Genomic DNA, 24,911 nt, shown 5'->3' on the forward strand with positions numbered 1-24,911 from the left:
CAAGTCTAGTGAGTTTGCTAACAAAGAGAGACACTCGAAGCCCAGGGGCTACTTCGGCTTTAAATCCCAGTGTTACACTCAATCCTTTGAGTTAAAGCCTCAGCTGCGGTTAAAAAGTCTGTGAATTAGGGGTAACTCAGTGGCATGGATTAGCCAGGATCTCTTTGAAAAGAGGACACCCAGACAGTAAGTTTTGATGGAGGAATATCAAAAGGTCCAGGAGCCTGCAAGTTGTGTCAGAAGAATAACAAGGGCAAATATGGGGCTATTTGCAAATCAACACACAGACCTCCTTTCCTCCCTATTCAGTGCAGAGATGCAGTGAATTCCAAGACATAGCACAGCTCACTTGCCACGTACTGGCCCTCCACTACAAAAAAATTTTCTTTTTCTTAAATCCCAAGTGCCAGCAGTTCAGTCAAGCTCATCAATGCTTTTTATTTAAAATGGTAGAGTTTCGGTAATAATGTTTACTGGACACAAAATATATTGGTTCTGATATTATTATAAACTGGATGATTTTTCAAAATTGCAACTACTATAATAAAATATTTTCACCCTCTCATAATAAACAATATGATCTAAGTACTCAAAACTCTGGCTTTGCAGGCCTGACCCTCAGTGAAATCTCAGCTTTAAGAACAAACTCTGTTCGAAATCATGCTAGATGAATGTGAATGGGTTGGCCATCAGATCCTTACAGCACCTGCATTGTCTCAGATACACCTAGCCAAGCAAGTGGGATTTACTATGGAAGGCAAACAAACAGGACAGTTCAGTTCCATGGAGATCATTCAAAAGTTCTTTCCCTTTAGCCCCAAAATACTATTTCATTAACCTCTGCATCTGTCTGTGTAAGATGCCTGTCATGGTATGTTTGTTTCAGTGTGATAAAGTTAAGAAATAATCAAGAAAATCTTTACAATAAAATGGTATCACACATTATACTTTCATCTTTTTTGTTTTTAAGTATAATTATGTGCCTCTAAGTCTAAAGTTTTCAGAAATTCCTCTCTGACTTACTCTAGGACTCAGCTGCTTTGGTTGTAGCGCCAGCTTTCCCCGCTCTTTCTCCACAAACATCTCCCAGCTCATCTCCAACAGCCTGTGTTGGAAACACCCTGTGTTGGAAACACCCTGTGTCTCCAGGACTCTCCATGGTCTTTAAGTCAGCTGATGCCAATACATCTCAGCTTTTGTGACTCTGCATAATCTCAGTGGTCACACAATAACGAAAGCTAAGTGTTTGTAATCATCATTTTAGAGACGCAAAAACAGATTCAAAGTTAAATTACTTGCCCGAGGTCAATCAACTAAGGAAAGGCAGAGTAGGGAATCCATGCTATACCGTCTACCCCAGCTGCCACGATGTTTCCACCATGTTACCCTTATTGATTTGAGCTCTAGATCCTAAGCAATATTTAAAGACATTTAAATTTTTTAATTAAAAATAATTAATTAATAATTTAAGTGTGTCTATTACAACAATGTAGGTATTTTCTAATTTAATGTTATGGATTAGGAAAATGATTTTACACATTTTTCACACCTACCTCCATCCTCCAGTCGTTAGGAACTTTCCAGAATATTATCAGTTTCCTTGAGGTGAGTCTGTTGTTGTTTTTAATTTCCTTTTAAAATGAAATTGTGGGTTTCCGCAAGAGTATCTTTAAAATTTCTAGACAACACTTTTTTTTCTTCCAGACTTCTTCTGGTATGGTATCTATTTGCCATATTTTAGTGTGGACTTTAATGTGGAAGAGTTGGACTCAAGATTCTCATAAACAAATGAATGTTGGTTACATTAGATATGGTTATAGCCCATGGTTACTCAGTGGTCTAACCTCATGATTAGTCTTAAACAAAAGTTTTCTGCCATTTTCTCCAATAAATAACTAGATACCTCCTTAAAGCACCCAATCATTTGTGTGTATTTCTTTGTTTATCCAAGTCTGTTTTGCATCTCTATAGGATATTGTGCACTGTCCCTGCATGCTGCCAGTAATGCTAAGTGCCAGCATTTGTGGACTGCCTGTGGGCACTATCCCAGATACTTCTTGTACATTCTTTTATTTCATATTCACAACAACCCTATGAGACAGATGTGTCTATATCCATTTTACAGATGAGAAAATAGGTTCAGATAAATTCAATTACTTACTCAAAGTCACATGTCTAGATTATCAGAGCTAACCTTAAAATACATTTCTGCCTGACCCTCTCTCCTACCTATGTGGCTTCCCAGTTACAAAGTGCTCCAACAGGTACAACATGGAATTCTGGAAGTTCAGAGACTTCTATGATACTCCTAATTTATTTTATCTGCCATTCCCAGGTCCCCAAATTAAGGACTAATATCATAAATAAATCCTGGGCACATAACTTTTAATTGAGTGGTCTATAATATTGATGTTTCCTCAGTTGGATGTCCTTATCATGTCTGGGGTTATTTTCTGTTTGTTTCGTCTTCCTCTGGGGAAATAAATTTGATCTGAGAGCATCTGTTATTTTCTGGAACAATTTTCTCATTTTGCTTTAAGCTTACTGTAGATATCAGAGTTGCTGGTGCATACCACAAACATTATTACTACCTATGGCTTCAGAATATTCGTGGAAAGGGAGAATGGCCTTTGTTAGTAATGCCACTATCAGCTTTCCTAAGTTGCTGGTACTTTATGTTCTAGGTATTTTGAAGAAGACAGAAGAAAAATGGATCCCGTGTTAATGGTGTTCTGCAGCTGAGGTGCCCTCTTCACAGTGCCAAGAAAAAAGATCTGTACCTATTGCAGACGATTGATAATTCTATTAGTGTATTACAAGGGCTGCAGTGCAAGGATGTTGGCGAGATCAGTAACTTGTGCAGACTTCTGCCACCATTCAGAGTAGAGCCACTGTTTAAAGAGGGTTTAATTGCTCTGGTCTGAAAGACACATTGAGAATAACAGAAAACTCTTCATGTCAAAAGAGTTTCTTATAAGATGTACAGTTTCCAGATTGGAAAAGATGAAACTAACACCCAAGGATCAATTACAGAATCAATTAAAGAATATTAAAAGAGTAGATAATGAAGTGTGAACTGGGGTGCTACAGACCATTATACTTTTTTTCAATAACATTATTGACTTTCCCCCCTCCATTAACAAAAAGAAGAAAAAAGTAAACACAGAACATACAGAAGAACATAAAAAAGAAATTAGATTTAAAACCATCTGTAATCATACCATTGGGAGAGAATCACCATTGATATTTTTCTAAGTATATAACATTTCACTCTTTATATATTTGAAATAATATGATACAGATGATTTTTAAAGTTAATTTTCACTTAGCATTTTCCCATGGAAGACATTTTTCTGTAACATGAGTTTTAATAACTTTATAATGCTCTATCTTTTGGCTGGGACTACCGTACTTTACCAATCTTTATTACTGAACAAATTATGTTTTCTAGTTTTTCATGTTGTAAACAACACTAAAGCTGAGCATGGTGGCACATGCCTGTAGTCTCAGCTTCTTGGAGGCCCAGGAGGGGGAGGCTCATTTGAGCCCAGGAGTTTGATACCAGCCTCCTGGCAACATAGTGAGACCCCATCCCTAAAAAACAAACAAACAAACAAACAAAAACAACACAGAGATGAATCATTTGGTTATAAACAACACTGGCATGAATCACATGGTTGTGTATCTGTCCAGTTATTTCTTCAGAATAATTTCTATGAAGTCACTACCTCAATGCATACATACTTAAAAAACAAAAACTCCTTTGTAACGTGTTGCCAAATTGCCTTCTAGAAGGTATGTATAAATTCAGCATCAGCAATAATACCTAGTTCTCCATACTCCCACTTGTGCTTGGCATTATCAAATACATTCACCTTGGCCAATAATAATGTGAGTAACGGCTAAGGTTACTAAAGGCTTGCTGTGTGCCAGGCACTGTGCTAATGCTAACAGCATGTGCAAGTCAGCCATTTTTAGATCCTCCATCAGCTCGGCCAAGTGAGGCAAACCTTGTTGTCCCAGGCCATTGTATGCTGCTCTCAAAGAGATTGAAAATTAAAACCCCAATGTCTTTAATCCTTTTTTATCTGATAATGTCAGCCACCCTGGCCATCCAAATTGACATACATGTAAAACAATGTAGATGTATTATTTGGATAAAAATTAAAATTAAATTTTATTCCTAGTGTGCTAAGCGTTTTTTTAATGGAGTTTTCTTGTGATATCTTTGTCTGGTTTTAGTATTAGGGTAATATTGACCTCATAGAATAAATTGGGAAGTGTTCCTTCCTCTTCTGTTTTTAGGAAGAGTTTGTGAGGGATTGGTATTAATTCTTCTCTAAACTTTGGTTCAACAGTGAAACCATGTGGCCTGGGATTTTTGTGTGGGGGGGAGTTTTTAAATTACTACTTCCATCTTTAGTTTTTATAGATTTATTCAGGATTTCTATTTCTTCTTGAGTCAGTAGTTTGTGTCTTTCTAGGAATTTGTCCGTTTCATATATGATATCAATTTTTTTTTTTTGAGATGGAGTCTTGCTCTGTCACCCAGGCTGGAGTGCAGTGGCGCCATCTTGGCTCACTGCAACCTCTGCCTCCCGGGTTCTAACGATTCTCCTGCCTCAGGCTCCTGAGTAGCTGGGATTACAGGCGCATGCCACCATACCCGGCTAATTTTTGTAGTTTTAGTAGAGACGGGGTTTCACCATCGAACTCCTTTTTTTTTGGAGACGGAGTCTCTCTCTGTTGACCAGGCTGGAGTGCAGTGGTGCAATCTTGGCTCACTGCAAGCTCCGCCTCCTGGCTTCACGCCATTCCCCTGCCTCAGCCTCCCGAGTAGCTGGGACTACAGGTGCCCGCCACCACGCCCGGCTAATTTTTGTATTTTTAGTAGAGACGGGTTTCACCTTGTTAGTCAGGATTCTCTCAATCTCCTGACCTTGTGATCCGCCCGCCTCAGCCTCCCAAAGTGCTGGGATTACAGCCCTGAGCCACCGCACCCGGCCATGATATCAAATTTGTTGGCATGCAGTTATTTGTAATATACTTTTATGATCCTTTTAATTTTTGCAAGGTTGGTAATGATGTTTTTGTTTTCTTTCTTTTTTTTTTTTTTTTTTTTTTTTTTGAGACAGAGTCTCACTCTTTCACCTAGACTAGAGTGCAATGGCACAATCTCAGCTCACTGCAACTTCTGTCTCCCGGGTTCAAGAGATTCTCCTGCCTCAGCCTCCCGAGTAGCTGGGATTACAGGTGTACGCCACCATGCCCAGCTAATTTTTTGTATTTTTAGTAGAGACGGGCTTCACCGTATTGGCCAGGCCAGTCTCTAACTCCTGACCTCAAGTGATCCGCCCGCCTAGGCCTCCCAAAGTGCTGGGATTACAGCTACCACGCCCGGCCTCTTTTTTTTTTCATTCCTGATTTTAGTAATTTCTGTCTTCTCTCTTTTTTTTTCTTGGTAAGTTCAATTAAAGATTTGTCACCTTTGTTGAACATTTCCAAGAACCAACTTTTTACTGATATTCTCGATTGCTTTTCCATTCCATTTCATTTATATCTACTCTAATCTTTATTTCTTCCCTTCTTGCTTTGTATTTATTTCGTACTTTTTTTCCGTTTCTTTTACTTTTATGTGGTTGTTTTTTTTAGAGAGAAGGTCTGTCTCTGTCACTCAGGCTGGACTGCATTGGCACGATCATGGCTCACTGCAGCCTCAAACTCTTAGGCTTAAGTGATCCTCCCACCTCAGCCTCCCAAGTAGCTAAAGCTACAGGCACACACCACCACACCTGGCTAATTTTTTAATTTTTTATAGAGATGAGGTCTCACTACATTGCCCATCTAGGAGATGTCCGATGTGCCCTTGAGAAGAATGTGCATTGTGCTTTTGTAGGGTGTAGTGTCCATTAGGTCTAATGGGTTTATAATGTTGTTCATTTCTTTTTTTGTTTTGTTCTTGTTTTTGAGAAAGGGTCTCACTCTGTCATCTGGGCTGAAGTGCAGTGGCACAGTCGCGGCTTACTGCAGCTTCAACCTTCCAGGCTCAAGCGATTCTCCTGCCTCAGCCCCCTCTTCCCCTCACCTGGTAGCTGGGTCTATAGGCACACGCCACCATGCCTAGCTGATTTTTGTATTTTTTGTAGAGACAGGTTTTCACCATGTTGCCATATTTCATTATATATAAATAATATTTTTATTATCAGCAGCACTTTCAAATGGCCATTTTTTATTTTGGTCTACTTTTAGACCTACAGAAAAGTTGCAAAAAAAGTAATAAAGACTTCCTTTATGTCCCCCACTCTTATTCTAACATGTTTTATGGCCATAGTGCAATTATCAAAATAGTCAAATAGCCTTTTTTCCTCCTTCAATTTTTTTGTTGTGGTAAAATATACATGACATAGTCTGGGAGCATTGTCTAATGTCTATAATCCCAGCACTTTGGGAGGCTTAGGTGAGAGGATCACTTGAGCCGAGGAGTTCAAGACCAGCCTGGGAGATATAGTGAGACCTCATCTCTACAAAAAAGTAAACAAATTTAGCCAGGTGTGGTGGCACGCTCCTGAACTCCCAGCTATTTGGGAGACTGAGGTGGAAGAATCGCTTGAGCCCAGGAGGTGGAGGCTGGAGTAATGAGCCAAGATCACGCAACTGCACTCCAGCCTAGGCAATAGAATGAAACTCTGTCTCAAAAAAAAAAAAAAAAAAAAAAGAAAAAGAAAAAGAAAGAAAGAAAGAAAGAGAAAACACAGCATAGAATCTATAATCGTGACCATTTTAAGTGTACAGTTAAGTGATGTTAAATATATTCATAAAGTTGTACAATCATCACCACTACCCATCCCTGGAACTTTTTCATCTTGTAAAAGTCAAGCTCTATACCCCTTAAACAGTGACTCTTTCTTATCCCTTCTTTCCTGCCCCTGGAAACCACCATTCTGCTTTCTGTCTCTTTGATTTTTACTACTCTATGTGCCTCATATAAGTGGAATTATATAATATTTGTTTTCTTGTGACTGGCTTATTTCACTGAGCAAAACGTCCTCAAAGTTCATCCATGTGTTGTAGCATATGTCAGAATTCCCTTCCTTTTTAAGGCTAAATAATACTCTGCTTCATGTATATACCACATTTTGACCTAATTTATGACCTAACCTACGGTTTATCCTGGAAAATGCCCCATGTGCAACTGAGAATGATGTGTATGCTGCTGTTGTTGGGTAGAGTGCTCTAGATATGTCTGTTTGATCTAGTTGATTTATTGTGTTGTTTAAGGTACTTATTGCCTTTGTTGTCTTCTCTCTGTTCTATCCATTGCTGAGAATGGTGTACTGCAGTCTCCAACTGTTCTGTTAGAACTGTCTATTTCTCTCTTTAATTCTGTCAGTTTTTGCTTCACATAGTTTAGTGGTCCGTTATTAGGTAGGTATGTAAATGTTTATAATGGGTGTATCTTCTTGCTATATTAAACCTCTTATTAATATACAATGCCCTTTTTGCCTCTTGTAAACTTTTTTGATTTAAAGTCTTTTTTGTCTGATATAGTCACCTTTGCTCTCTGTTGGTCACTATTTGCATGGAATATCTTTTTTCATTTTTTCACTTTCAATGTATTTGTGTCTTTGGATCTAAAGTAAGTCACTTGTAGACAGACTATATAGTCATATGCAGCATAATGACCTTTTAGTCAATGATGGACCACATATAGGATGGTTGTCTCATAAGATTATAACACCGTATTTTTACTGTACCTTCTCTAGATATGTTTAGGTACACAAATATTTACAATTGTGTTATAATCACCTACAGTATTCAGTACAGTAACATGACGTACAGGATTGTAACCTAGGAGCAATAGGCTATATATTAGGTACCCCAGGTATGTAGTAGACTATTCTGTGTAGGTTTGTGTAAGTCCACTGTATGACGTTCACACAATGATGAAATCACTTAATGACACATGTCTCAGAATGTATCTGACATTAAGCAACACATGACTGTAACTATATTTGGATCCTGTGGGTTTTTTTATTCCATTCTGCCAATCTTTGTCTTTTGATTGGAGAGTTTAATCATTTAGACTTAAATTAACTGTTGGTAAGGAGGGGCTTACTTCTGTCTTTCTACTATTTGTTTTCTATATGCCTTATAACTTTTTGTTTCTCATTTCCAACATTGCTATCTTCTTTTTGTATTTGGTTGATTTTATGTAGTGAAGTGTTCAAATTCCTTTTTAAATTTCCTTTTGCATGTATTGATAGCTCTTTTCTTTATAGTTATGATGGTGATTACACTTAACATCCTAAAATTATAACACTCTAATTTGAATTTATACCAGCTTAACTTCAGTAAGATGTAAAAACTCTGTTCCTTTACAGCTCCATCCCCACCCCTTTTGGTTGATGATGTCAAAAAATTACATCTTCATACATTTTGTGCCCCAAACCATAAACTAATAAATCTATTATAGTCTCTTAAATTATATAGAAAACAAAATGTGAAGTTACAAACCAAAGTATAATAATACTAGTTTTTCGACTAATAATTTTTAAAAGTACATTAATCTCTCAAATCATGTAGAAAACAAACAGTAGAGTTACAAACTATTGCTATAATAATATCAACTTTTATAATTCCCTAGGTATTGACCTTTATCAAGATCTTTATTTCTTCAGATGGTTTCAAGTCACTGTCTAGTGTGTCTCCACTTTAACCTGAAGGATTCCCTTTGGCATTTCTTGCAGAGCAAGTCTAATGGTCTGAAACTCCCTCTGCTTTTATCTGGGAATGCCTTAATTTCTCCCTCACTTTTTAGGGATAGTTTTGCTGGATGTAGGATTTTTGGTTGACAATGTTTTCTTTTAGCACTTTGAACATATTAGCCCACTGCCTTCTAGCCTCCAAAGTTTCTGATGAGAAATACACTGATAATCTTTATTGAGGATCCCTTGTGTATGATGAGTCATTTCTCCCTTGAAGCTTTCAAGATTATCTCGGTCTTTATCTTTCCAAGATTTGAATATAATGTGCCTTGGTGTGGATTTCTTTGAGTTAATCTTACTTAGCGTTTGTTAAGCTTCTTGGATGTTTATTTTCATGTCTTTCATCCAGTTTGAGAAGTTTTCAGCCATTATTTATTCAAATATTCTCTCCTCCCCTTTCTCTCTCTCTTCTCCTTCTGGGACTTCATATGTTTGTTTACTCATTTGTGTCTCACAGGTCCCTTAGGCTCTCTTCACTTTACTTCAGATGTTTTTCTTTCTCTTCCTCAGATTTTATAATTGTCATTGTCCTGTCTTCATGTTTGTTGATTCTTTCTTCTAACTGCTCAAATCTGCCCCTAAATCCCTCTAGTGAATTTTTTATTTCAGTTATTACGCTTTCCATCTCCTGAATATCTTGTTTCTTTTATAGTTTTCAATATCTTTATTGATATTTCCATTTTGTTCATACACTATTTCTTTGACTTTTCCCATATCTTCCATTAGTAATTTGAGTGTCTTTAAAACAGTTGTTTTAGGGCCAGGCACGATGCCTCACATCTGAAATCCTAGCACTTTTGGAGGCCAAGGGGGGCAGATCACCTGAGCTCAGGAGTTCGAGACCAGCCTGGCCAACATGGTGAAACCCCTCCTCTACTAAAAATACAAAACTTAGCTGATCGTGGTGGTGTGTGCCTTTAATCCTAGCTACTTGGGAGGCTGTGGCAGAAGAATCACTTGAACCCAGGAGGCGGAGGTTGCTAGTGAGCTGACATAGTGCCATTGCACTCCAGCCTGGGCAACAAGAGTGAAACTGTGTCTCAAAATAAAATAAAATGGTTGTTTTAAAATTTTTTGCCTAGTAGGTCTACCATTAGGTTTTTTTCATCAAGTTTCTGTTTATTTTGTTTCCTTTAAATGCACCATAGTTTTTTTTTTTTCATTGCATGCCTATGATTTTCTGTTGAAAACATTGGAAGCTAATAATGTGGTAACCCTGAAAATCAGATTCTCCCCCTTCTTCAGGGTTTTCTGGGTTTTGTTAACTTATTCATTGTTTTGGGGGTTAAAAAATTTTTTTAGGCTCTCTCTGTGCCAAGGATCAGCCTGAGGTATAAACTTGAGGTTTTCTCAGGTCTTTGCTGAGCTTACACCTTTCCCTGAATATGTGCAGTCACTTTCTAATTATACCATACATGCAGTTACTTTTAAATGTCCTAGTTTAGCTCTCAAAAAGACAAAATGAAAAAAAATGAATGTGGAAAAGGACACTGGCCCTTTAAGTCTCCTGAAAATCACTCTAGCCAGAGGTGGAGGGGCATGCAACAATGAGGAGAGGTGCAACAACAATGGCTGTGATCAGAATCAGTAATCCGTGATTGGAGTACAGATCCCTGATGTTAGAAGACAAGGAATTTTTTTTTTTTTTTCTCACTCTGGCTCCCACAGGCTGCAAGCCAGCTGCTCCAGCTGCCTACCAGGGGGCTAGGGATGGGGGATGGTAGTTTCTACTGTGCTTAAAAGCTGAAATTGGCCAAAAGTCACTGCAATTTACCATCCTATTCTTCCCCTGGAAGTTGCAAGCCTTTAATAGACTCCAGAGTTCCAAAATAGGAAGATACTGGCATACAGCTGTCTTTAGGTGGGGAGACAGATTCCTGGTGCTTCTTAATCTGCCACCTTCCCAGAATTCTTTCCCCATTGCCTGTTACTATACATAAAATTATATTAAAATCTACCCACACCCAGCTCATTTATTCATTGTTGATAGCTGCTGTCACACTACAATGCCAGAAGTGAATAGTTTTGACACAGACTGTATAGCCTGCAAAGCCAAAAATGTTCACTATTTGGCTCTTCATGGAAAAAGTTTGCCAATCACTATGGGGGAATAGAGAATGTAGGGTATGAAAACTAACAAGATAGCCTACAAATAGGACATCTATTTTCTAAATAAATGTAAATTATACTATAAAATATAATTTAATAAATACATAAAACACTATGAAAGCATTTACCACCACCAAAATTGTGCTGCTGCAAGTAATCTTGGGAAGTGTCCAACTTCAATCAAAGTGACCATTACTCAATACTAGAAGGTAACCAAAGAAAGCTCAAATTGGATAATGCATACCCTGAAGTACTCAAAAAATTCGGAAAGTCAGACTTTTCAACTTTCTGGAATATCAGTATTTCCAGAATATAGTTGAGTTTAAAATATGAATGTAAACACAGCTATACCAAGGAGTAAAATGTAAAATCTGTATACATTTTTAAGATAAAACAAATTACTACATGATGTTCCTCTTGATTGCAATGGGTTGATTAAGCTACCCCCAAAACTCCTAGCAATTTACCTTTATTCACTCTACCTAAGCAAGTTGCTGTGGAATTGTGGCATATGAGTGGGATATTCTTTGTAATAATCTTATGTGGGTGTGGGAAGTTCTCAATTCATTGCTATTCAGTTCCTAAGAAGTTGACCCAGAAAGCAACAGCTGAAACATTCTGGTAGCTGTCTACCCAATGTTCTTTCTCTCTCCTGCTTCTTTAGTAGCATAATTCTGATTTTGAGAGAAGAGGGAGTGATGATATGTCTGGCTGAAGAATTGAATTTCTCAGCTTCTCTTTACACCGATTGGGTAACTCTACGACTAAATTCTAGCTTCTAATACATAGGGCTTTTCAGGGAAAAGCCCTTGAAAAGGGAGTGTTGAATCAGCTGGGCGTCCTTTTTGGCCTCTTCCTTCCTTTTTCTTCCTGCCAGAATGATGGATTCAATGGCTGGAGAGGCAATGTCTAACATGTGAACTTGAAGTGACTTTGTGAATGGAAGCCACACAATAAGGATGGCTTATTGAAGGAGGCAGGAGCATTGATGATTCCACAGAGCCAGCATATCAGCTTTTAATTGTCCACATCTAAATTTCATTTACATGAGAGAAACAGAAACTTTAATAACTTCAATATTCTGCAAGCCACCATTACTGATGAGTACAATTACTAACACCCCATGTGCCAGGCAGGATGCCCTAGAAGTCACTGGTCATTGCAGAGGAAAAATTGCGATACAGATTTGTACACCAATCTCCTGCAAGTTTGGTTAGTAGGAAACAAGCCCCTGGAGACATCTGCACCCAGTAAACTACAAAATTAAATTTCTGAGTCTTGCAGTGTGTGGAGTCTGAGATAAGAAGCTTCTACTTAGGAGAGCAATAAAGGAAATGGGTCCTTAACTATGATCAGCTTTCAGTTAAGAGAAAGTGGTAGAGAGAAAGTTCTGTGAGAAGTCTGAAGATGAAACAGAAGGAATTCAAAAGGCAGGAGAGTTCTGAATGATGAAGGTAGGAGTTATTTCAGCATTTTCCATGTGAATCTCAGCTGCCTATCTCACCCCACATCCCATCACTCCCACGCTCACACATCCCTGTAAGCCTAGAATTCACGCATGTTCCCTAGTCTCAGGACTTGGTAGCACAGCCTCCACTGACTTGCCCAATAGGAAGCAAGTTTCCCTTCTTGCCATCTGAATTCCACATTTGGTGTGCCTGAAGTAAACCCTAAGAGCCCATACTGGTTCAGTTCTAGAACTTTACTGTCATCCAGTGCATAACCCATGCTCAGTAAATATTAGTTAAATTTAACAGAGGACAAAAAAATGTATAATCCCCAAAGTAAAATAGTCTGAAAATTTCAGGTGAAAAAGTTGAGGGGAAAGGTATTTAAAAATAAATGCAGCTGGACGGGCACGGTGACTCACGTCTGTAATTCTGGCACTTTGGGAGGCCGACGTGGGCGGATCACCTGAAGTCAGGAGTTCGAGACCAGCCTGGCCAACATGGGGAAACCCTGTCTCTACTAAAAATACAAAAATTAGCCAGGGGTGGTGGTGGGTGCCTGTAATCCCAGCTACTTGAGAGGCTGAGGCAGGAGAATTGCTTGAACCCAGAGGGCGGAGGTTGCAGTGAGCCGATATCACACCACTTCACTCCAGCCTGGGTGAAAGAGCAAAACTCTGCCTAAAAAAATAAAAAAATAAATAAATAAATAAAGTAAAATAAAAAAAAATGCACCAACTTATAGCTAGGATTTGTGTTGATAGTTATTGGAAGGTAAAGAGAAAAATCCCATATAAAAATATTCTGTTACTCTGGCCCATAAAATCATCATTTTAAAAGAAACAAGGTGGAAGGTAGGGCTGAAAGGGATATTGAGAGGACACTGATGACCAACTTCTTTGAGCCACAAGTTTGCCCAAGGCCTGCTCTGGTACCAAAGTGGCCATTTCTCTCCTCAGTGACCCCTCTCCAGACTGGCTGCCCATTCTATCCTGCTTTGCTTCTGCCACCCACTTCCTGGGCTTCTAGTGCTGGGCTGGTACCATTTATTTGTTTATTCAGGGCAGGAAAGTACTTGACCAGGTGTCTGTAGCACCAAATGCCTGTGGCTCCCTAGAGTAGGAGAGTCAGGCCCAAGATGATACACACAGTGACCACTTTGAAGGTTCCACTCGAGGCATGGCTCAGCCAGAACATTCCCAGAGAAACTCACTCCCTCAAAGTTAAGGTCACCGTAGTCATTTTAGCTATTGAAGACCACAGTGCTCTATATGTGTTGGCTCATTTGTGCTCCAATCTCCTCTATGACATCAGTTCTATTATTATCTCCATTTTGCAGTGGAGGAAACAACTTATACAGGTTTAGTATTTTGTCCAAGATCACAGTTCCTAAGTGGTAGCTCTGGGATTCACACCCAAGCAGTGTGACCGTAGAGCCAGACTCCAGCCAGTGTATGTATTATTTACTCCCGGTTGTCTGTGAAATGTAGAAAAGAAAAGGAAAAGAATAAAAATCCCCTCTGACTCCAGCAACAGAGATAACTATTTGCTTTTTCCCCACCTGCTATCCTTATGCAAACCCCACCTTAATGTGGTGGTAACATCAGCTTCCCAGGCATATTCCTGTGGGAAACAGTCTGTCTCCCTCCCTGGCAGTGGCATGTCTCAGAAGTAGCCTTTGGCAACCTCTTGGTGAAGTCTGTGTCTCCCTCCCACACCCCGCCATGCTACCCTCTCAGGTGACCTCTGCAGGGCCCACACCAGCAAGATTTCTTGACTAGTCCCCAGGCCAGCCCTTCTCCCTTCCCACCGCAGAGACAGTTTCTGCAGAGGCTTGCCCTCTCTTGCCCACAGCCTGGCTAGCCTAATCATCTCAGGTCATAAATGCTGAAGCTTTAGCAGGTTACTCCTCCCAGGTTGACATGCTTATACAGGCATTTTTGAGAGATATTGTACTTTTTAGCCAAAAGCCCCAAAGTAGAGACACACTGGGCTTGGCCAGGGTTTTGGTGTTCTCTTAAAGCACACCATCCCTTTGCTGCTTCACCAGTGGGAGTGAAATGTTTTCACAGGGAAACGTCCTTCTGGCTGCCAGGCTGTGATGGGGAGGTGTCAGTGGGTGGGTGCCGGAGGGGAAGATGTTTTATGTTACAACACAGGAAGTCAATGACCTTGAGGCCTCTGAGCACTCTGCCAGGTCAATTCATCTCGGAGGTTGTTCTTTCCTGCCCCAAAGCCTAGGCTGACTACAAAGCTCCTTCCGCCCCTCAGAGCAATTAGAGAAACAGAAAGAAGCAGAGTACCAGGATCTGAAAATGGAGCAGTGCAGAGAGAAAGCTAGTGTAAGACCGTGCTTCTCAACCCTTTCACACATAATACTTAACTTTTGTAAGAAATATTTCATAATATTCATTTTGCTATCTAGAAATGAAGTTCTTAGATATATAACCTACCTACACATATAATTTTTAAAATAAATATAATGTCCTACCTACAATGTAAAGAAAAATAAAAGGAGAGTAGTGGATAATAAAATATATTTAAATATGTGAATTCTAGTACACAGCTGCCCTAGAAGACATAGCAAAGGGCCAGGTGCCTGCACCTTTACTTAAAATCATTGTGAACACAAGGGATATAGCTGCAGTTAAATTGGCGATTCAATATTATGAGAAGGGTTGCTGTCAGAAACATGCATTTCCAAAATTCTTGGTAAAGTTCTTTTTTTTTTTTTTTTTGAGACAGGGTCTCACTCTGTTACCCAAGCTGGAGTGCAGTGGCACAAACATGGCTCACTGCAGCCTCAACCTCTTGGGCTCAAGTGATTCTTCTGCCTCTGCCTCTTGTGCATTTGGTACCACAGGTGCATGCCACCACACCGGGCTAATTTTTTTAATTTTTTGTAGAGATGGGGTCTCTCCATGTTGCCCAGGCTGGCCTCAAACTCCCGGGCTCAAGCAATCCTCCTACCTTGGCTTCCCAAAACTCTGGGATTATGGACGTGAGCGACTGAGCCCAGCTTAAAGTTCTAAACAAAACAAAATATCATCTTGCCTTGATTCCCACAATAGTTATGATCCTAAAAATTTCAGTATATATTCAACCATGCAAAAAACACATGACGTTTATATGTAAAACAGAGTTACATTCCAGGCACAGGTAGTCTGTAAGATTTTCATCAACACAAATGTCTACTGTGATTTTCCAAAGGCATATGGGACACAGAACAGTTGCGTTTCAGGAAGTCCAGCATCCTTGGCCCCCACTTCCTAAAATGCTAGTTGACCCACAATTTTGTCATTGTGACAAAAATGCTTCCATAAATGTCCAAACTACGCACCCCCCAGAAGTATGGCCCCCATGGAAAATCAATGTCTGAGGCGACCCCAGGAACTGATTAGCGGTAAGATCGCATACCTTAACTCTGTATGGCATGAATTGCTCAGTAGCATCAAGGAAATGGAGGGCGAAATACTGATAAACAATATAGGCAAGTGTTAGTGACGTGTTTCTCAAGAAGTTAAAAATACTTGCCCTCAGGAAGATCAGTGTAGTAGGATCCATTCAGAGTTTGCTAAATCATCTTAAAGAACTAGGAATGCCCAAGGCTAGAGAAGATTTAACGTTAACTTAACTGAGGATAATAAATCCAAGGAAGAACTAAAATTAAATTTGATGAAAGCCAATTTGTCAAAGATCAATTATCCAAAAGTCAAGTCACTAAATGACCAATTCACCAAAAGCCAATGTGTCAAATATTAACTTGCTGAAAGATTAATTCACCCCAAACTGCCAAATTTAGTACTTTAAGCCATGTCTAGTACTGCAGCAATTTCACCATAAGCCAATTTGCTACCATTGAGTCACTGTGGCTGGCCAAATCCTAGTGTGTTTGGCACTTTTGGTCTATATCATTAAGTAATGAGAAGATCCTGGGTATTTCAAATGTTGTGCATTTTGCACATCTCAAATGTCAAGGAATTTATGAAAAATAAGGTAGATTTCTCTTTGCCAATGCATTACATGCCTTCCCTATTACTCTTAATCATGGCTTTGTGAATAAGCTCAATCAAATAAATACTTTGTGCATGTTTCAAATTTCAAACTCTTTCATTTGATATCATATACATGAAAGAAGAGTTTGCCCTTTAAACAGTTTTATATCAATTTGCCTTTCCCTATTTGTGCTGACTTTGTCAGTCTTTTGAACAAAGTTTTTGTCTGCATGTCAATTTTTATGTATCCATAAAATATGTGGAAACTAGCAAAAATTCTTTCCATGAAATGGGGTCTATATACAAATTTAGGAATGTGGCTAAAATCCAAGTTAGGCATAAGGCCTCAAAACTAGAGAAGGTCATAATCTATGTTGAAGGGCAAGCTCACCCATTCACATATAAAATGCTATACAAGCCGTGCAAGGCCCTAAAAGGTGAAAAACATGAAATGAACATTCAAATAAGCCCTGATAAATTCTTAGGGAGAGAGCTGAGGTGAAGCAGCTCCTGTGAGCCACACCAAACAAAAATGGAAAATAAATCTTCAAAGACTATTAAAGCAATTTCATACAAACAATCTGTTATAAGCTCCATAGGCAGTTAATAGAATCAAGGTTTTGGTGAATCAGTAATTTGGTAAATTGGTTATTTGGTGAATTGATGAGTTGCTACATTTTATTTTAGTGACTGGGATAGCACCGTCTTTTGGAACATTAGCTTGCCTTCCTCGAGAAGTAATGTGGTAGGCAGGCAGGGAGTTGGAAATAAAAGAGCAACAGAAGCAAGCATGGGGTGTGCCCAACTTAGCACGGCCTGTTAGAGATGGTGTCCGTTCTCCATTCTGACCTGCATACATGTCCCCACTGTGGAGACAGATGCCTCAGGCTAGCTCAGCCAGCTGCCAGTAACAGGTGAATCCCATAACCAATTCTTGTTCTGATTTTACACTCACCTGGAATGCTTCTGATTATAAATGAGCTTCCTCAGTTGTTTTCCATCAGAGAAATTGTAGTCCAAGGGTCATGCATACCTGGTCACCTTGGTGGATATAAATCTCAATGTGCATTAATAAATGAGCATCTTTGTTTTTACATCTGTATTTTATGAACTTCGTAAGTGTGGATCAGCGCCACTGAGTCTGATCACCCCTAAGACCCTGGTAAGATTAATTTTTCACAGCATCTGTGAGTAATGGCCAGACCCAGGTCTGTTCTGAATTCATCCCCATTGGCTCCGCACCTTTACTTTATGTTTCTACAATCTATAAAACATAGTGAAGGAAGACTCTGCATGTAAATGGTGGGCCTAAAATAATTGCAAACAGGGAGAATTGAATATTTTTCTTACATATTTTATATAAAAGCCCTGAAGTGATAGCCTGTGTATCCAAAGCCCCCTCGGCCTGGAGTGCTAAGGCAGGTCAGGTGAACAGACATAAGCAGTATTTCTCTGGCTCCAGCTTGAACCAGCTATTGCGGGCCTTCCATCTTTCCATGCTTCACCCCCCACCCCCACAGCCACCCCCACCCCACCAGTTATTTAGGGGAGGTGCCAAGGAGTTCTTATGTGCTGATGAGGAGGTCCTCTCAGCTGTTCCTGCCATTGTCCTCCCTGTTTCACTCCTGTCTTAGTCTGTCTGTGCTGCTATAATGAAATACCTGAGACTCAGTAATTTATAAAGAACAGAAGTCTATTTCTCACAGTTCTGGAGGCTGGGAAACCCAAGATCAAGGTGCCAGCAGATTCAGTGTCTGGTGGGAGGTGCTTTTTGTTTCCAAGATTTTGGAATCTTAGAATCTTGCTGCTGTGTCTTCACATAGCAGAAAAGATGGAAGGACAAGGGCGCTAGGGCTTTCCCTTCAACTGCTTTTATGAGAGTACTAACCCATGAGGGCAGAGTCCTCAGAACTTAATCACTCTCGGAAAGCCCCCACTTCTTAATACTATCACATTGGGTATTAGGTTCCAGCATATGAATTCTGGAGGTACACATATGTTCAAACCACAACTTCCTTCAATTCTATCTATGCTTCCCTGTGAAGCAAGGAAGGGCTGGCACTGAAGGTGGTCCTGTCCATGCCAAGGGCAGCCTTCTGCTGCTGGGCCTCTTCCCGCTGCTTCTCCAGCTGGAGCCAGAGCTTTGGGCACAACCCCAGGCCCTCTAGATGCCCTGGATCTCCAAGTGCCAATGCAGGGCCTCGCTTGCCGTCACCCCTGACTTGACATGTTCTGCACAAAAAGGCATGTGAGGAGCATCTCTCCCTTCTCCTTTGCATCACAGTAGACACAGGGCCCTGTAGTGCTGCCTCGTGTTTCCCAAGAGTTCTTGCATCGGTCTACAGTCAATTAAGTCTCTAGATGAGGGAGTGATCATTGCTATGCAGAACCGGAACATAAATAAGCTCAGGGTGCTGCAGTGAATCAGAAAGTGAGGCAGAAACACCTAACCAAAAAAGAGAGGCCATGTACACAAGGTTAGCGATGGGCTCTTATCTACCCCTGGCCTGTCCTGCTCACCCTGAGGGAGATGAAAGTGAGTATTACCATTAAGCCATGCTGAAGAATATAGGTTAATTTTGTAGTCAGAAAAAAAATGGTGACATTTCAAACCATCATTGTAATAAAACAATACATTTATTTATTTAATTCAATGCTTATAGTCACATTATACAAATTGCCATCAGGTCACAGGTCTCAATAGTGTGGGTACAGTCACTCTCAATGAATCATTTTGCTGTCTCCATAAAGTCACAGGTGAACAAAGGCCTTTAGATAGTGTAGGGAGAGACACCAGATCCAACCGGACACAACTAAATGACATGCAACATTTCATTACCCTGAGTGGGCAGGTCAGAAAATTAGCTTTCTATACACAACTCCCTCTTCCCATACCTTCAGAACAGGGCCTCAGTGGGAAGAGGGGGCAGTTAGCTTTACCCGAGCCTGCCCCAGGTTCCATTTCTGGTATCAAGGACTTTTCAACCCCTCCCTAACTTTCATGTATCTATGAATAATCACATGCATGTGCACGTGCACACACACACACACACACACACACACAATTTCACCCTGGCCCAGACAATTTCCAAGGCTGCTGGTCAACCCTGGTGCTGGTTTCCTGATTAACAGTTGCTCACTCCGGGCTTTACCTTGTAAACCTAAGGAATTGTCCCTGGTTCTGCTCTGCTGCTTTAGGAAGCAGAGAACCTCTGTGCAGGCTGGAATCTCACCTTTCCAACATCATTTCCAGACAGGATTCACCAAGGACATCTGTGTCCTGTGGGAAGTCCAAACTCCCATTCTGCAGGTATGTCTAATTTATTTCAGCATGCAGCTGTCCCTTTTCTGTGAAATTTTTCTTTTATTCCATGTGTCTTTCTCTGCCTTGCCCTCTCAGTCTCACCCTTCCTTCAAACTAAGTTAGGAGAGGGACTCTGCTATTTATGGTTGACCTTACCCTGTGCTTTGTAAGGTATGCTAAAGGATTTTCTCCCCACCCTTGCCAGTGAATTTTAAAATTAATTTTAAAAGAGAATGCAATTTCTGAGGCTGTCCTTCCTTGAAGGACACTTTTTATTCCCTCGGCAGAATGTGTACTGGGGATTGGGCTATAGAAAAAAATCTTCTGTGCCTCTGTTTTATTTTATTCCTGGGGTGGTTTGGAGGATGGGTGATCTGATGACACAACTGACTTCACAAAGTGTCCTCCTTCTCTGTCGGAGTTCAATTTACAACATAATCGGGCTTGGCAAGGGATATCCTGAAACAGCAGTAACCCTCTCTATACAAAACATCACTTTGCCTCAGGCCAAGCCTATTCACCTTCATGGTTACTTTTAGACAGTGTCTCGTATCTTGTGTACAACTATAGTACTTGGTCCCCAGTGATTAAAAAGAACTCAGGGTTTGTCTACACACACACACACACACACACACACACACACACTCAGACTCTGGCTGAGAGAAGTGTGCCTTCCAGAAGTGCTCCTTTCATTGCTGCCCAAATCCAAACCTCTTCTTTGAGAAGGGAAGGGCACAAGAAAGGAGGTACCTGAACCCTTCTCTGAGTCAGGTGCCCGTGGTTTCCTCCACCTTCCTGGTGGAGGCCTAGAGTCGGAGTGGGAGAGGGAAGTGGTCAGAGAAGAGGAGAGAGCTATGTTGAAAGACAGCTGGGGAGAAAGCAAGCCCTCCACTCCCCTCTGCCCCTTAGTCCATGCTAAAACCCCAGAGTACACCAGCAGGAAGTGGAAATGGGCAGTCCTGCTGTTTCCAGGTTCTGGTGGGCACCTTTCCACATCCTAAACCAAAATATGTGACATGGACTGTCTGGATTTGTTCTGAAGAGGTGGTAGGTCCATTTGTTCATGGAAATCCTGACAGGGTCAGCTGTGAATCACACTGATGCTGGTGTAGGGTTAACACCATGGAGGTTGCAGGGGCCTGTGCTCTTGCTATACTTCCCTCATAGCCCTCTCTGTTATTTACTTAATTTCACATTTGTTAGTCGTGGGTTTGGGTAGGGCAGGAGAAGCAATCATTTCCATTTACTACCAACCACATAGCACACAAAACCAAATGTAGACCACTCCTTAGTCACCGCCCACTGTTTCTGATGGCACAGGGACATTCTAGGATGGGGGATGAGATATCCATCATTCAAAATGAGCCCAGAGGGCCACCGCTGGAAATACATGTGGTTGGCTGAATATAAGTGTCTGACTGTATATTTTTTAAGATAAACTTTTTGTTTGTTTTGTTTTGTTTTGTTTTGAGACAGAGTCTTGCTCTGTCACCCAGGAGGGAGTGCAGTGGCACAGTCTTGGCTCACTGCAACTTCCACCTCCCAGGTTCAAGCAATTCTCCTGCCTCAGCCTCCTGAGTAGCTGGGATTACAGGTGTGCACCACCATACCCAACTAATTTTTGTATTTTTAGTAGAGACATGTTGGCCAGGCTGGTCTTGAACTCCTGACCTCAAGTGATCCGCCCACCTCGGCCTCCCAAAGTGCTGGGATTAGAGGCATGAGCCACCGCGCACGGCCAAGATAAACTTTAAAAAGAAAAAAAGACTTTAATTAGCTGGAAATCCACTAACCAGCACTCTGACTTAATTAGGACTATAAACTATCAGGAAAAGAAACAAATGATAACAAAAAAAGATAAAAATAATAGCTATTTATTGTGTCACTTCCATATGCCAGGAAGTTATTGCGTATACTTTTTACACCAACCCTGGGGAAACTCTAAATGTCAAAGAGGTTAAGTAAGCTAGCTAAGAGCATACCTCCATTTACAAGTGAGTCAAAACTCAACCTCAGGTTCTATGCTCTACAGAGCTATTCTATACGCCTAAGTTTTGTCGTGTATTGCCATAACAAAATACCTGAGAATGTGTAATTTAAAAAGAAGAGAGGTTTATTTGGCTCACATTTCTGATGGCTGGAAAGTCCAAGAGCATGGCACTGGCATCTGCTCTGCTTTTGGTGAGGGCCACGTGCTGTGTCCCAACAGGGCAGAGAAGCAGAAAGGCAAGTGGGTGTGTTCAAAGAGGGCAAAACCTGAGAGTCAACCCTGCTTTGTAACAAACCGCGCTAGTGGGAACTAATCCATTCCCAGTAGAACTAACCCAGTCTTGGAAGAAAGACATTAACCTATCTTAACGACCTAATCACCTTTTAAAGGTGCCATCTCCCAGCACTGCTACATTGGCAATTAGATTTCAGCATGAGTTTTGTCAGAGACAAACCACATCCAAACCACAGCACTTTATATATCTTGCTTTTTTTGTTGTTTGTTTTGTTTTTTGTCCTGAAGCCCTAAATGTGAAATGGGTAAGACTTTTACAGCTACTAGGGTAGTCATTAGCGCTGTTTATCAAATATTTTTGGATTGCCACCTTCTGAACATAGAGAAGGACAATATTTTCCAGCCCCCTCGTGAGTGGGACACTGTGGCTGATACAGGTCAATATGCTCTGAGTGGAAATAATAGAAGTGATGTGTGTCACTTCTGAACTGGGGCATTTAATCATTAACAGGAGACTCTCCAGAGCTGTCTTTCCTTCTGCAAAAAGGCAAGTTCCAGCTCCATCAGCATAGGTCTTGAAGTGAGGATGATTTTGAACCAAGCCTCAGCTGCCCCATGTATGCTATGTGCCTGAGAGTTGGGGATTATCTGATACTGCAGCATAATCTAGCCTATCCTAACTGATAGGATCACAACCTAAAGAGTGCAGAAATATATTTTTATTTCCTCGTAACTAACTTAACTCACAAGCCCCCAATTCCACCAATAGTAGAAAATTCAGTGTTGCCCATTCAACTCACTTTGAGTATAGTTCTCCCCCATTTTTTGAGGAGAGAATACTTAGTCAATTCCAAGTTCCACCCCTTGGAACAAGGCTGGCAGAGTACATCTAAGTTTCAGGTAATGAAGGAGGTAAAAATAGTAGTTAAGGTTTTTTTGGTTGTTTTTGTTTTGAGATGAAGTCTCACTCTGTCACCCGGGCTGGAGAGTGCAATGGCAAGATCTCAGATCACTGCAACCTCCACCTCCCAGGTTCAAGCAATTCTCCCACCTCAGCCTACCGAGTAGCTGGGAATACAGGCATGCGCCACCACGCACGGCTAATTTTTTGTATTTTTAATGGAGATGGGGTTTCACCATGTTGGCCAGGCTGGTCTCGAACTCCTGACCTCAAATGATCCGACCACCTCAGCCTCCCAAATGCTGGGATTACAGGCGTGAGCCACAGTGCCTGGCCAAGAGCAGTTAAGTGCCCCATAACAAAGAGAGGCACTGGAGGTTACCTTTGTCCCAGGGCTGTCTTCTCATCTGCAAGCCATCACAGCTACGTGGCTCTTTCCTCTCTACCTTTGTGGTGGATGTGTCAGAGGCATGTGAACCAGAGTGACTCCATCTTGAATAGGGGCTGGGTAAAATAAGGCTTAGACCTGCCGGGCTGCATTCCTAGGAGGTTAGGCATTCTTAGTCACAGGATGAGATAAGAGGTTAGCACAAGGTACAGGTCACAAAGACGTTGCTGATAGAAGGATGCAGTAGAGAAGGCGGCCAGAAGCTACCAAAACCAAGATGATGATGAAAGTGACCTCTGGTCATCCTCACTGCTCATTATATGCTAGTTATAATGCATTAGCATGCTAAAAGACACTCCCACCAGCACCTTGACAGTTAATAAATGCCATGCCAATGCCCAGAAGTTACCCTATATGGTCTAAAAAGGGATGGAACCCTCAGTTCCAGGAATTGCCCACCCCTTCCCGGAAACCTCATGAAAAATCCACCCCGTTTAGCATATAATCAAGAAATAGCCAACCAGCAGCCCTCAGGGCTGCTCTGCCTATGAATTAGCCATTCTTTTATTCCTTTACTTTCTTAATAAATTTGCTTTCACTTTATGGATTCCCCTCTAATTCTTTCTTGCGCAAGATCCAAGAACCCTCTCTTGGGGCCTGGATAGAGAGACCCCTTTCCAGTAACAGATATCTGCAACACTGCCAAGGCCTCTGAACATGAGGCACGCTACTCTGCTCCCTCCTCATCTTAACCCAAGGCCTCTAAAGTTTCTAGCCCTCTCACAATATTTCTCCCTCCCCCACACCAGATCTCTGGACCTCAAGGCTGCTAGGACACTGTGAGGTAGTCCTCGAGTAACTCACTCAAGCAGCTACAGTGACTATTGTTCTGGCATCATGTGTGCCTCTCTAAGGGCCTGTCTGCCTAGGCTACACCTTGGGGAGCAAGGCATGAGTGCCCTCTTGCCTCAGGCCCCACTCCCATCAAACCTATCAGAGGTTTATTTTTGTTTGTTTGTTTGTTTTGTGCCTTTGTCCCAGGTTTATTGAAAATATTACAGTATTGCAGAAAGATTCAAACAGGTCCCCTAGGCGTTTTGAAAGTCATCCGAACTGTAGGCTGACTGACCTGCAGGTTGGACAGACTGCCAAATGCTGAAGTCCAAAAGCATTTTCTTAGCGTTAGGATGTACTTCAATGATCTCCTGATCCAGGGCTGAGACCTCGGGAACATAATTGTCTCTTTTTTCTCTCTCTTCCTCCTGCAGCTTGATGGAGATACCTCTTACTGGTATCTTACCCCTCTGAATCCACTTCACCAGATGCATGACATAGCCTGCTATCTTGTTGTGGAGCTTCTCGCTGGGGATAATGGCGATCTCCTCGCACACGCGCTTATCCGTGTGGAAGTCATTGCCCAGGCGCGTGTAGTACTTTTCTGTGACGACCTGGGCCGCCTTCTTCACGGTTTGGGTGTGAACGCGGCCCATGTTGGCTGGTCCTTGGTAAAAGAGGCCCTATCAGAGGTTTCTAACACACATTTTCTACACCCCACTGCTGGCATGAAGCCAACAGGGGTAGGGGGAGAGGGATTAGGACTCTGAACATTCTCACAGGGAAGCTCAAGGTATCTTGCTCTCCTGCTTTCCTTTCCCAACTCTCAGGTCCCTCCCCTTTTGGAATGTAAAACTATCTCTTACAACAGAGCTACTCAAAGTGCTGGTTGGCAACAAGCTAAGTCTGGTTGGTGTCAGCACATAAATCACCGTATTGCTTC

At 41.2% G+C, this 24,911-nt stretch overlaps 1 pseudogene; it reads right to left on the reverse strand.

Moving 5' to 3' along the window:
- RPS17P6 (ribosomal protein S17 pseudogene 6) lies at positions 24,167-24,649 on the reverse strand (annotated as a pseudogene).

This window comes from Homo sapiens, chromosome 1 (genome assembly GCF_000001405.40).
Source record: "Homo sapiens chromosome 1, GRCh38.p14 Primary Assembly".
NCBI lineage: Eukaryota > Metazoa > Chordata > Mammalia > Primates > Hominidae > Homo > Homo sapiens.